Source organism: Homo sapiens, chromosome 11 (assembly GCF_000001405.40).
Source record: "Homo sapiens chromosome 11, GRCh38.p14 Primary Assembly".
NCBI lineage: Eukaryota > Metazoa > Chordata > Mammalia > Primates > Hominidae > Homo > Homo sapiens.
In genome coordinates this window covers 13397803-13411987 of record NC_000011.10, presented here as the reverse complement: position 1 = coordinate 13411987, position 14185 = coordinate 13397803, and the positions used below count along the sequence as shown (strand labels likewise).

The 14185-nt window shown below is 37.7% G+C and overlaps 1 protein-coding gene across 15 annotated transcripts in view; it reads left to right on the top strand.

Annotated features, from left to right (window-relative positions):
• BTBD10 (BTB domain containing 10) overlaps positions 1–14185 on the top strand; it is a 75215-nt gene that overhangs the window by 51235 nt on the left and 9795 nt on the right. For 6 of the 15 annotated variants that reach the window (XM_017018410.2, XM_024448712.2, XM_017018409.2 and 3 more), the window contains 3 exons: positions 6132–6329; positions 7973–8077; positions 8710–8820. In XM_017018410.2, the coding sequence (XP_016873899.1) occupies positions 6132–6329; positions 7973–8077; positions 8710–8820 (414 nt within the window). Of the gene's footprint in view, positions 1–6131; positions 6330–7332; positions 7429–7972; positions 8078–8709; positions 8821–14185 lie in introns of those variants that run through there. The other 9 variants (XM_024448713.2, NM_001297741.2, NM_032320.7 and 6 more) reach the window with 2 other exon arrangements.

The window sequence follows — 14185 nt, the reverse complement described above, 5'->3', positions numbered from 1 at the left end:
TGGTGGTGCATGCCTGTAATTCCAGCTACTCGGGAGGCTGAGGCAGGAGAATTGCTTGAACACGGGAGGTGGAGGTTGTGGTGAGCCGAGATTGCGCCATCGCACTCCAGCATGGGCAACAAGAGTGAAACTCCATCTCAAAAAAAAAAAAAAAGTTTTAGTTGAAACCATGAGCATTATAGATCCCTGATTTCAAGTTTTGTGTCTATTCATACGACCATTTAAATTAATCTTTATATAATTAATGTTGAATTTTGGTGACTGGCAGAGATAGAAAAAAACTAGAATTTTTTACAGATGATGTGAATCTCTTAGTTCTGCAATCTTTTGTTGTGCGTAGTTTACCTTGTCATTACTACTAAGTATCTTTTATTTGTTACAGATTAAAAGTAAGGGTTTTATGTAAAATATGTGTAACATGATTATCCTAGACTTTTAGCTTTTCAGTAATATTTGTAGTTGTTTCTAGATTACTTGTAATATATGTTACTAAAAATTTAGAGATTCTCAAAGACGTTTTAAAAAAAAACTATATAGAATTTGAAGAGATGGAAGTGGTCTTGTAAAAATGTAGGTAGACTTTAATCCAAAAGTAAATTTTTTTTCTTGCAAATATATGCCTTTGCTGAATATTTGGAATGGCACTTTGCACTAAAATATCTGGGCTTATATCTTAATTTAAGAAGAAATTATACAATTTGCTTGCATGTTCTCTCTCTCTGGTTGAGGCACTCTTTTTCAGTTTGTGGCATTAAACTAGTTTGGACTTGAGGACAGAGACTGTATCTTTTTGACTTTGTGTCTATAGTGTGTGGCACATCCTAAGGACTCAACAAAATGTTTGCTGAACTAATAAATTATTGTATTCCCTTGTGCGTTTTTAGGACCCTCTTCCACTGGTTGTCCTCTCTGGTATCATCAGTCTTTCCCTTTCTCTATGTAGTAAACCTCAGTCTCAAACATACTCAAATCTGACTTATGTCTATTCTAGACGTTCAAAAACATTCTCTTTAAAAAAAACTTGAGCTTTTCATTGGAATCCTTTGAAGTTAACTTTTTAGAAGAATTAACATATAGCTCCAAATGCTGTGTCTTCCCATTTATTCACACTTTTGTGTCTTTAGGTAGAGTTTTATCATTTTCTTCATATAGTTTCTGCTCTGGTCTTGTTAATATTTTGTGTTTTTATTATTGCTGTGTGTAGAATATGTTTAACTTTTCTAAGTGCTAACTTATAATAAAGTTACTGAATTTTGTACATTTAGCCACCTCATAGAGCCCTGTTTGTTTCTAATAATTTTTTAGTTGATCCTAATATATGCCTCACAGTTAATTGACTATGTTATAAATAACACTTTTTATATCTTTTTTTTGTCCTGTCAAATTGGCTAGAAGATTTTGAACAATGTTAAGTTTAATGGGAATTCTGGCATCTCTGTCTTTAAAGGCATTTCCCTGGACGTGGGGCTCATGTCTATATTCCCAGCACTTTGAGAGGCTGAGGTGGGAGGAGCACTTGAGCCCAGGGGTTCGAAATCATCCTAGGCAACATAGCAAGACCCTGTCTTAAGAAAAATAAAGACATTTCTTTTAGGCTTAATTACGATGTTACTCATTTTTTCTTGACTCTCCCTTCCTTTGGCTTTTTGGCATCCTTTTTCCTGATCCTTGGAATGTGGTTGTTCTCCACTGTTAGCTACTTTCTCTCTCACAGAATCTGCACTTATTCTAAGTGGTGCTATTCATCACTGTGGCTTCAAATATTATCTTTACACTGGGGATTTCTACCTTTTTATCTTTAATTTCTAAGTGTCAACTTTAATTTTTTTTAAATTTTATTTCAGTTGTTTTTGGGATACAGGTGGTTTTGGGTTATATGGATAAGTTTTTAGTGGTTATTTCTGAGATTTTTGTGCACTTATCACCTGGACAGCGTACACTGTACTCAGTATGTAGTCTTTTATCCCTCACTTCCTCCCAGCCTTCCTCACCGACTTCCCAGAGTCCACTGTATCATTCTTGTGCCTCTGTGTCCTGATCAACTATTCATTTCTAGTTTACCATTTAACTTGTCCTTTCGTCCCCTCTTCCTTCTTAATCAAGCTTTTTATGAGTTTCATGCATATAGTACATATAGTGATGAATAAAGACAGACATTGTCCCTGCCTTTATGGAGTTTATAGTCTGGTTGGGAGGACAGACATTTAACAAGTAATAAAAGCTGTGAAAAATGCAGTGAAGAAATGAGATATTATTAGAAGTGTATGACAAAGGGTCTGTGGAGAATCATTATCTAAGTGCCGTTAAAGCCGAGACCTGAAGGAGTGGCAAAGAGTGAGGGAAAGCTGACCATAGAAGCAGTAGAAATGATGTGTGCAGAGGTTTAAGTGGGAAGGAATGTGACATATTTAGGGTACTCAAAAAAAGGCAAATGTTGCTAGAGCAGAGGGATGGAATATGAGTGGTGAGGAATAAGGCCTGAGAGGTAAAGAGGAAACAAAATTTATGAATTAAACAAATATTTAATGACTCTACTCTGTACTAAGCACTGTTCTAAGTTTTGGGGATTCAGTATGAACAAACCAGGCATAACTTTCTGTTCTAATGGAATGTACACTCTATTGGGAAAAACGTGATAAACAAAGTAAATAAATCATATATGCTATGTTAGTGATAAGTGCCAAGGAGAAAAAAGTGAAGAAGTTACTTAGAGGAGCCAGAGAAACTTTCATTGGAAATAAAAATGTTAAATTCCAAGCAGAGGTTGCTAGTGAATGCACACAATGAAGGAGCTTGTCTGGTATATTTGAGAGCAGCAGAGAGGCCAGGATAGTTGGAGTGGAGTGAGTGAGAGTGTCAGTAATGGGAAATGTGGTCGGAGAGGTAACAAGGCACCTAGGTCAAATAAGGCCTTTATGTTTTGGCTTTTACTCTGAGTGAGATTGGAAGATATGGGACGGGTTTGAACAAAAGAGTGATATGATCTGTAAGGCTGTCACATTGTACCATTTCATGGGGGCCCTGTTCACACAGAAGTCAGTGTAGAGTTGTTCAGTGCTATAATCCTGACCTGACTTAAGGTTTAAAAGAATCACTTTTGGCTGTTGTGTTAAAAATGGACCAAAAGGGGAATTGTGCTAGAAGCAAATAGATCAATTAGGAAGCCACTGTCAAAGTCCAGGTATGAGATGGTAGGGGCTTGGATTAGAGTGGAAGCATTAAGAAGTAGTCAGATTCTGGGTATATGGGATGTTCAGATTACCAGAATTTCCTCTTCAATTGAATGTGGAGTGGAAAGAAGAGGAGAGCTTTAACCAGAAGTGTGAGGTTGCCATTAATTGAGATGGGGGAGACTTCATGAGGAGCAAAAATCTAAAAGCTTGATTTTGAACACGTTAAGTTTGAAATACCTGTTAGATATCCAAGTAGAAATGTTAAGTGGAGCATTGGGTATACATGTCTAAAGTTCAGCAGAGAAATGTGGGTTAGATATAAGTGGGAGTCATCAGTATATGGATAATATTTAAACAAAGTGTATTAAAGGATTGATTCTAGACACTGATCTATAACATTCTTTTTCACATAGCAGGGCTTTATGTACCAAGTTGAGGATTTATTTTAAGGATAGTACAAGTCATGAGAGACAATTAGATTTGGCTGCTGTGGGGAAAATGAATTGCAGAGAGGCAAAAGCAGATGTTGGGGGAATGTAATCAGAAAGATTTTGTAGTAATTTGGGTGAGAGTTAATGATGAACAGAACCAGGATGGAGGCAAGAGGATGGAATATGTCGGGTTAACTATTGCTGTGTAATAAGCCACCCCAAGCTTAGCATAAACTATAACCATTTTATTACTCTCATTTATTCTGTGGGTCAGGAATTTATACAGGGCACAGCAGAGGTGGCTTATGGCTGTATCACAATATCTGAGGCCTCATCTGTGAAGAATTGATGGGCTGGGGTGGCTCACAAGGCTGGAGGCTTTATTCACATGTCTGGTGCCAGGACTGGGATGACTGAAAGGCTGGACTCAGCTAGGAATGTCAAACAGAATACCTATGTGTGCTCTCTCCGTATGACTTGAACTTCTCAAATCCTGGAGGCTGCATTCAGAAAGGAAGCATTTGAAGAAAAAGCATTCCAGAAACCAAGGCAGAAATTGCAAGGCTTCTTTTGACTTAGCCTCCAAAGTCATGTGCTGTCTCCTCAGCCATGCTCCTCTGGTTACAAACAAGTTTGTATTACCAGTCTAATTAAAGGGGAGGGGAGCTAGACTCCACTTTTTGGGAAGAGATGTCAAGGTCACCTTGCAGAAAAGTATGTGGCTTAGGAGATTTTGCAGCTATCTTTGTGCCAAAAGAAGGAAATAACACAATTCAAGGTGTGTTTAAGAAGACTTGGGGAATTATTTGAATTAGGTGGTAAAGGAGAAATCCAGGATTTATTCATTTAGTATACTAACATTTAAGTTCCCATTATATGCCCAGCACTGTGCTGAGATAGTTCTGAAAACTTGAGTGGATAGTGATGCCATTTACTGATTTGAAAAATACCGTGGAGAGAGTTAGAGACGGTAAGTTAAATTTTGGATGTATTGAGTTTGACGTACCTCTGAAGTTACATCCAAGTGGAAATTTCCAGAAAGCAGCTGAATATAATGCATCTCGAATACAGAAGACTGAATTAGTAGAAATAAATTTGGGAATTCTCAGCATAGGATAAAGAAGAAAAGAACTTAAAATTGTCCTGAGAAATACCAGTATTTAATGAACAGCTGGAGGAGAAAGAGTTGGCAAAGGTTACTGAGGAAGAATAGCCAGTGGGAGGAAAAAAACAGGGATAATGGTATCAGAGATTCTTAGGGGTGAGTATGTTTCAAGAAAGAGTGTTCCATTGTAGGAGATTAAACTGAGAGGTCAAATAAGATCAGGACCAAAAGATGGTTATTGTCTTTAACAATATAAAGGCTATTTGGAGACCATAGCAAGACATTTTTGTAGTATAGTGAGAATGGAAGCCAGATTGGAATTGGTTCAGAAGTTGGGGAGAGAGAAGGTGTTGAAATATAGGTAATTGTCTATAAAGATAACTTTTTAAAATGATAATGGGAAATAGCCAGCCTGGAGAGAGACATGGCTAAGTAATATTAATGTAGATTATTTAATTATCTAATCAATTATATTAATTGTAATATGTTAATTATATAGTGTTTATTATATAATATATAATTATAGAGACATCTTGTAGGGAGGAAAAGCTCTCCCTTGGGAGACTGTAGGTTATGAGTTCTAGCGTCTTCCTTCACCCCTTCTCCAGTTCTCCAGTTTTTACAACACACACACACAAACACACACACACACACACACACACTGTCTCTCTCTCTGGCTCACTCTCTGTTTCTCTCTCTCTCTCTCTCTCTCTCTCTCACTCATGCGTATGGTTGCCATGGTTGCTTCTTTAACTTCGCTCTCCAGGCTGATGCAGTAGCAGTAGTTCTTGAGATGTTGGCATCTTCAGTAGGGAGATAGGACATTGCCATTAAATAGAAATAAAAGAAAAAAGCAGTGCAGGTGAGTTTGTGGCTGTGCATTTAGGAAATTGAAGTTGTTCATTATGTCTGTGCTTAAGGAGGTTGAAGTCTCTTTCAGCTCTCTCACTTCTAGTATCAAGTTTGCTGTGGAATTCCTGCATCATGTTGTATTTTGCTTGATCTTTTGCCTGCATTATTCTAAAGACTATTGACCCTTTTCAGCTCACCTCTCAACCTGCACTGAAATATTAATTCTGTTTATAACTTTTGGAGAAGGAGAGCATGCAGGAAATGGAATATAAGAACTATTTCAGTTTATGTGGATAACCTGAAAAGTATCTTTAAGATATACCTTAAGACATATTGTGTATACTGATGGAAGATAATATGGTATAGTGAAAAATACGCTAGGCTAGGGATAGGGTTTTAATTCTGACTTTGCAAATTAGTTTTGTAATATTAGGCAAGTTATTTCATGATGTGTAAAATGAGGGGGCCTATGTAGGCTGCCTGGCCTTTCTTGTTATAAGAGTCTATATTTCTAAAAGAACTCTTTTTAGGAAAAGTTTTGGTAAGATATTTTTGTGGATTTCATTTCAGGTGCCCTAATGCATGAGTTATCAAATGATGGTGCTCGTAGACAATTTGAATTTTATCTGGAAGAAATGATCCTCCCTCTCATGGTAGCTAGTGCCCAGAGTGGGGAACGGGAATGTCATATAGTGGTGCTTACAGATGATGATGTGGTTGATTGGGATGAAGAATATCCACCACAGATGGGAGAAGAATATTCACAAAGTACGTACTCTGGCATGTTTTCTCTCCCCTGAATCATCACGAATTATTTCTTGTTTATGTAAAGAAGAGCTCTTCTCATAGACCAGCCTGGGGGTCAATCCAGCCCATCACCTATTTTTATAAATTAAGTTTTATGTATTGCCTATGGCTGCTTTCATGCTACAGTGGCAGAGTTGAGTAGTTGTAACAGAAACTGCATGGCTCGCAATGCCCAAAGTATTTATTATATGTCCCTGTACAGAAGAATATGCCCCGCCCATGCCATATACACATGGTTAGTTATTTGTTGACTCTCTGGAACTTGATAGATTTTTTTTCTTTGTATTTAAAAGCATTCAGGAGAACTACTTCCTTTATGAAAATAGCTTGTTTAAAAAATGAGTTTTTTTACGTAAATTTGGAAGCTTTAACTCATTGATTTTGAGGATAACTTTAAGTTGTAAGGTACCCTTTTTTAAAATATCATGTATGTTCATCAAGGATACAATGACCCTTCATAAGGCTTTGTAGAATTATAGTTCTTTTGGGCATTTCTAACCAAAATGGCCTATCTTGAGCAACAATCACTGACATTTTTTCTTATTTTTTTGTTATTTTTTCTTGATGAGCCCAATATTAGTATTTCTGACCAGTTTTATAAATAAGGAAGAATTGAAAAAGAATGACTCAAGGAATTGAATAAAATAGCCTAGCATCTTCTTCTGTACTATATAGTCTGTTGACTTGGTAAGGATTAGGGTTTAATATAGAAAGTACCAAAACACCTTATCTCTGATTTTTCCATTTTACATATGCTTTTCTAAAATCAAAACAAAGCAGACTCCAGATGGCATTCTTTTTAACTTCCGAAGGAGATTTTTGAAAGATTATTTTAACACAAGTTATGGTAGCACTTTACAGAGTTTGCATTGAGATATTTCTTTTGCATGATGTACTTAAATGAGTGTTGTGATTCCTTTGTGGATAGTTGTAGTAATAGACATTTCTGTTGCTATTTCCTCAGTTCTAGGCTCTTTGCTGACAATGGTTTTCTATAATATGTGGAATAAAAAGTTGAACAAAACCCAAGAAAAGTGAAAGGTTGTCAAAAATAAAAGAGGTATACTAAATTATTTTCTGTTAAGGAAAAGGAGTGAACAAGCTTATAACTTACATTTTACTTTTCAAAAGGTTTGACCCCAAGAAGGTACAGTCAACCATAGAAGATAGAAATGATATTATAGTGATAAAGGAATGATAATAAACCTGGTGTTTTCTTTTCCATTGTTGAACTTTTCACTTCAATATTTTTGTTTTCTTGTTTTTTATCTTAAAGCTTAAAAGGCCTGAAAACATTTTTACTTAGTGGTCTAAATATGTATTATTTTGTATCAAGATGATCCAACATAAAGAAGATTCATTTGAGGAGCTAGAGATAGCCTTTCGGCCTGATTTTTCTATATGTGACTTTATGACAGATATTGTCCTTTCTAAGATCTAAAATAATCTTTATCTTCAAATACCAGTAAATCTTAAGGATGTAGTAATAATCACAAATTTACCCCATGAGTAGAGTTTATATACGTATTTTCTTTTTTTTGGCTCTTAAACCAGCATGTTTGGTTTGTGAGTGTGTTTTTCTTTTTTTGAAAAAACCTTTGCAGTTCACCTTTTAAGGGAGATAACTCAACCCGAAAGAGAGAAGGCGAGGAATGTCCATCAGTCTAACTCCCTGAAGTTCTCAGCACATTTGGAAGACTCAACATGTTGTCAGTGGAATGTCTGTCCTTTGCAAAGCCAGTTTGCTCTAAACAGACTAACCTAGGCAGAACTTGCTCGAATCTGCCATTTTTAACATCAGTATTAAATGGGGCTGTTCGCCTGAATGGAAAACAGTTTGTGGGGAGGGTCTTTGCCTTTTGGGAAATTATTAATAGTTGCTCAATCCATGAAATGTAAAATGTATCTGTTTTGTACTCTTTGACAAGGCAGTTTTTCCGCCTCTAGACTAGGCCTTGTAGACATCTTAGCAAAGTCCTTTACTTTGCTTGATAATGATGCGATATTGATATCTTCTTTGGATTCTCTTATTTGAAACTTGGGGCAGATCCCATTCCAATAAATGTGTAGATGATGTTCTTTCAGAAGGAGATTCTTCCTATGGATTGGGTTTTCTGATTGGTTGTCAAAGCTTTTCTTGTTTCCACTTAAGTAGACATTTGCTTCTACATTAACTATACTGAATACTGCCCTGTCATGTTGGCTAGTCATCCTTTGGCATTACTGCATCCATTATTTGGGCTTTTAGGACTGTTAGGCCCCTTTGATGAGCAAGATAAATTTAAGTTCATCTCTAAATCCTTTAATTTTAATACAATAATATTTTTCTTTTTGTTTCTAGTTATTTATAGCACAAAATTATATAGATTTTTCAAGTATATTGAAAACAGAGATGTGGCCAAGTCAGTTTTGAAGGAGAGGGGTCTTAAGAAGATTAGATTGGGAATAGAAGGTAAGACATTTTCATTATTTTCTATTAGTTTTCTTTTTAAAACAAAAAGGTTAAAAACAATTGGATCTTATTTAGAATACAGTTGGAATACTTTGAGAAAAACTCTGACAAATGATTACCACATGCTTATGCAGTAGACCTATAAATAACAAAAATCAGCTGCACTTAGAAGACAGATAAAAGGCCATTAGAAATTGTTATTCCATAAGATTCTCTAGTGATAGAGATATGAATTTGTCTTTTTCTGCCCTAGTTTGCCCTAATTCATTTTTGACAAAGCCCATGTGGTGTGTGTGGACATGAATATATGTACATTCCCATAGGATTGGCAGGGCTTTTTGCATAGTAGTGATCATTGAAGCCCAACAGAATTAAAAATTACTTCCTTAAAATTCATGTAAAAGCAGCACTACTAGTAGCTTACTTATGTCTTAAAGTATGATAATAGCTTATTTTCAAGGTAAGTACAAATTATGAAATATTCTTTCATCTTATGTAAATGCACAGAGTTTTAGATAGCTTACTTTATGAATTAAAATAATTTTTCTGTAATGTTTTATCAGATGCCTCTTTTATTTTAAAATACCCATAAGAGGAACAAAGTGTCTTAATTGATATAACATGACAATGTAAAGAGTAAAAGCTTTGGAGCCAGATTACTTATATTCAAATCCTGTGACTTATGTTCAAATCCTGTGACCTTGGCCAAGGCACTTAAAAATTCTGTGCCTCAGTTTCTTTCCTCTAAAATGAGAGCATTAATGAGTACTTTATAAGGTTTTTGTAAGGATAGAATGAATTAATATATGAAAAACACTTAAAACACTGCCTAGTACATAGTAAGTTTGCAGTATATGTTTGTGATGGTGATAATGAAGATAATAGTGTTGATCATTGACCTACCTGATTGAACTGTTGGAGAATAGTAATGGGCTGCTGAGATATATAGGAAGAATAACCAGAAACAGGATTTTTGTGTGGGAAGGGGCAGAGACTTTGGGCTTAAAAAGCAGTGGAATTGCTGATATATGAAGCATTGGTCTAGTGTCCTAGTTCATTACTTTGTAAACAGTGAGATTTAGCTACTTGGTCTTAGAGCTAGAGAGAAGGCACTGGGAGCTACTTTAGATTGGGAGGACAGGGAAGGCCTCCTGAGAAGAAGACATTCAAGGGGAGGCCTGGTGACAAAAATGGTTCTAGACGGAGAAAATAGCAAGTGCAAAAGTGTTGAGGTAGGAATGAGCTTACTATATTTGTGGTACAGAAAACATACATATGTCTGGTATAATAAATGAGGAGGAGATTTGAAGAGATATAGTTGGTCTGAAAGTTAGTAGAAGAGATAAAGTAGGATCAGAAGATGCAGGGTCTTATAGGCCATGATAAGGAGTATACTGGCCAAGTGTCTTAAGGTAAGTCCCTCAGCCTTTCTGAGCATCAGTTTCCTTTATCTTAGTAGTGAGTGTAATACTCTGTATATCTTAGAGGATAGTTGTGATAATCAAATATTATTTATTAGAAATTATTTCCTTCCCAAGAGGATAGTTGTGATAATCAAATATTATTTACTAGAAATTACTTCCTTCCCACTCTACTTCCTCTTTCTCTACATGGCGACTATTATCCATCCTTTAAATCCTCTGAAACCTTCTTGGAACCTCTGTGAAATTATTCGTTAGAATAATTTGCTAAATAATACTCTGTTCAGGTCATAGACTGTGAGCTCCTTGAGAGAAGTCAAGTTGCATATTGCATACCTAACATGTGGTCTAGTTCCTAGGTATAGGTGGTTCTCAAATAGTAAATAAATGATTTATGGAAAAGCTATATGTAAATTAGTTACTGAAAGTGAGGACTTCTTTCTCTGTCACAGGGAGATAATAGCAGTGCTCTAAAGCATTGGGCCATAACTCTTAAATGAATTTTCATATAATTGTAAGGACCTATAACAAGTACTAGTTACTATTAACCTCATATAAAATTCATTTAAAATAGTACATTATATGTGTGTGTGTATATATATATAATGTAATATATATATATCTGATATATAATATTTCACTCCTAAATATTTTAATATGCAGCTCTAAAAATATTTTAACATACCCAACAAAATTAAAGAATACTTTATTTGAATCAATCCATATTAAAATTTCTCAGTGGTCTCCCCAAATTTCCTTTTAGCTGTTTTCTCTAAACCAACATTCAATCTGGGACCACATCTTACAACTAACTGCTTGTTTTGTCAAATTTCTCAATCTAGAATAGTTCCTTATTTATGATATTGTCCTATTGAAGAGTCTGGGCCAGTTGTCTTGTAGAAGGTCCCACTTCTGGATTTGCCCTATTATTTCCTTGGTGTGTTCTTCAGTTTAGTCCCTCTCTTCTGTAATTTCTGTGAACTGTAAGTTAGATTAAAGGCTTAGTCCGTGTATTAGTCCGTTTTCTCACGGCTTTAAAGAACTACCTCTGGGGGGTGGAGCCAAGATGGCCGAATAGGAACAGCTCCAGTCTACAGCTTCCAGCGTGAGCGACGCAGAAAATGGGTGATTTCTGCATTTCCAACTGAGGTACCAGGTTCATCTCACTGGGGAGTGCCGGACAGTGGGTGCAGGACAGTGGGTGCAGCGCACCGTGCGTGAGCCGAAGCAGGGCGAGGCATCGCCTCACCTGGGAAGCACAAGGGGTCAGGGAATTCCCTTTCCTAGTCAAAGAAAGGGGTGACAGACAGCACCTGGAAAATCGGGTCACTCCCACCCTAATACTGCACTTTTCCAACGGGCTTCACAAACGGCACACCAGGAGATTATATCCCACACCTGGCTCTGAGGGTCCTACACCCACGGAGCCTTGCTCATTGCTAGCACAGCAGTCTGAGATCAAACTGCAAGGTGGCAGCGAGGCTGGGGGAGGGGCACCCGCCATTGCTCAGACTTAAGTAGGTAAACAAATCGGCCTGGAAGCTCGAACTGGGTGGAGCCCACCACAGCTCAAGGAGGCCTGCCTGCCTCTGTAGGCTCCCCCTTTGGGGGCAGGGCACAGACAAACAAAAGACAGCAATAACCTCTGCAGACTTAAATGTCCCTGTCTGACAGCTTTGAAGAGAGTAGTGGTTCTCCCAGCACACAGCTTGAGATCTGAGAACGGGCAGACTGCCTCCTGAAGTGGGTCCCTGAGCCCCGAGTAGCCTAACTGGGAGGCACCCCCCAGTAGGGGCGGACTGACACCTCACACGGCCGGGTACTCCTCTGAGAGAAAACTTCCAGAGGAACGATCAGGCAGCAGCATTTGCAGTTCACCAATATCTGCTGTTCTGTAGGCACTGCTGCTGATACCAAGGTAAACAGGGTCTGGAGTGGACCTCCAGTAAACTCCAACAGACCTGCTGCTGAGGGTCCTGTCTGTTAGAAGGAAAACTAACAAACAGAAAGGACATCCACACCAAAAACCCATCTGTACGTCACCATCATCAAAGACCAAAGGTAGATAAAACCACAAAGATGGGGAAAAAACAGAGCAGCAAAACCGGAAACTCTAAAAATCAGAGCGCCTCTCCTCCTCCAAAGGAATGCAGCTCCTCACCAGCAACGGAACAAAGCTGAATGGAGAATGACTTTGACGAGTTGAGAGAGGAAGGCTTCAGAAGATCAAACTACTCCGAGCTAAAGGAGGAAGTTCAATCCAATGGCAAAGAAGTTAAAAACTTTGAAAAAAAATTAGACGAATGGCTAACTAGAATAACCAATGCAGAGAAGTTCTTAAAGGACCTGATGGAGCTGAAAGCCACGGCACGAGAACTACGTGACGAATGCACAAGCCTCAGTAGCCGATGCGATCAACTGGAAGAAAGGGTATCAGCGATGGAAGACAAAATGAATGAAATGAAGCGTGAAGAGAAGTTTAGAGAAAAAAGAATAAAAAGAAACGAACAAAGCCTCCAAGAAATATGGGACTATGTGAAAAGACCAAATCTACGTCTCATTGGTGTACCTGAAAGTGATGGGGAGAATGGAACCAAGTTGGAAAACACTCTGCAGGATATTATCCAGGAGAACTTCCCCAATCTAGCAAGGAAGGCCAACATTCAAATTCAGGAAATACAGAGAACGCCACAAAGATACTCCTCGAGAAGAGCAACTAACTCCAAGACACGTAATTGTCAGATTCACCAAAGTTGAAATGAAGGAAAAAATGTTAAGGGCAGCCAGAGAGAAAGGTCGGGTAACCCACAAAGGGAAGCCCATCAGACTAACAGCTGATCTCTCAGCAGAAACTCTACAAGCCAGAAGAGAGTGGGGGCCAATATTCAACATTCTTAAAGAAAAGAATTTTCAACCCAGAATTTCATATCCAGCCAAACTAAGCTTCATAAGTGAAGGAGAAATAAAATCCTTTACAGACAAGCAAATGCTGAGAGATTTTGTCACCACCAGGCCTGCCCTACAAGAGCTCCTGAAGGAAGCACTAAATATGGGAAGGAACAACCAGTACCAGCCACTGCAAAAACATGCCAAATTGTAAACACCATCAAGGCTAGGAAGAAACTGCATCAACTAATGAACAAAATAACCAGCTAACATCATAATGACAGGATCAAATTCACACATAACAATATTAACATTAAATGTAAATGGGCTAAATGCTCTAATTAAAAGACACAGACTGGCAAATTGGATAAAGAGTCAAGACCCATCAGTGTGCTGTATTCAGGAGACCCATCTCACATGCAGAGACACACATAGGCTCAAAATAAAGGGATGGAGGAAGATCTACCAAGCAAATGGAAAACAAAAAAAGGCAGGGGTTTCAATCCTAGTCTCTGATAAAACAGACTTTAAACCAACAAAGATCAAAAGAGACAAAGAAGGCCATTACATAATGGTAAAGGGATCAATTCAACAAGAAGAGCTAACTATCCTAAATATATATGCACCCAATAGAGGAGCACCCAGATTCATAAAGCAAGTCCTGAGTGACCTACAAAGAGACTTAGACTCCCACACAATAATAATGGGAGACTTTAACACCCCACTGTCAACATTAGACAGATCAATGAGACAGAAAGTTAACAAGGATATCCAGGAATTGAACTCAGCTCTGCACCAAGCAGACCTAATAGACATCTACAGAATTCCCCACCCCAAATCAACAGAATATACATTCTTTTCAGCACCACACCACACCTATTCCAAAATTGACCACATAGTTGGAAGTAAAGCACTCCTCAGCAAATGTAAAAGAACAGAAATTATAACAAACTGTCTCTTAGACCACAGTGCAATCCAACTAGAACTCAGGATTAAGAAACTCACTCAAAACCACTCAACTACATGGAAACTGAACAACCTTCTCCTGAATGACTACT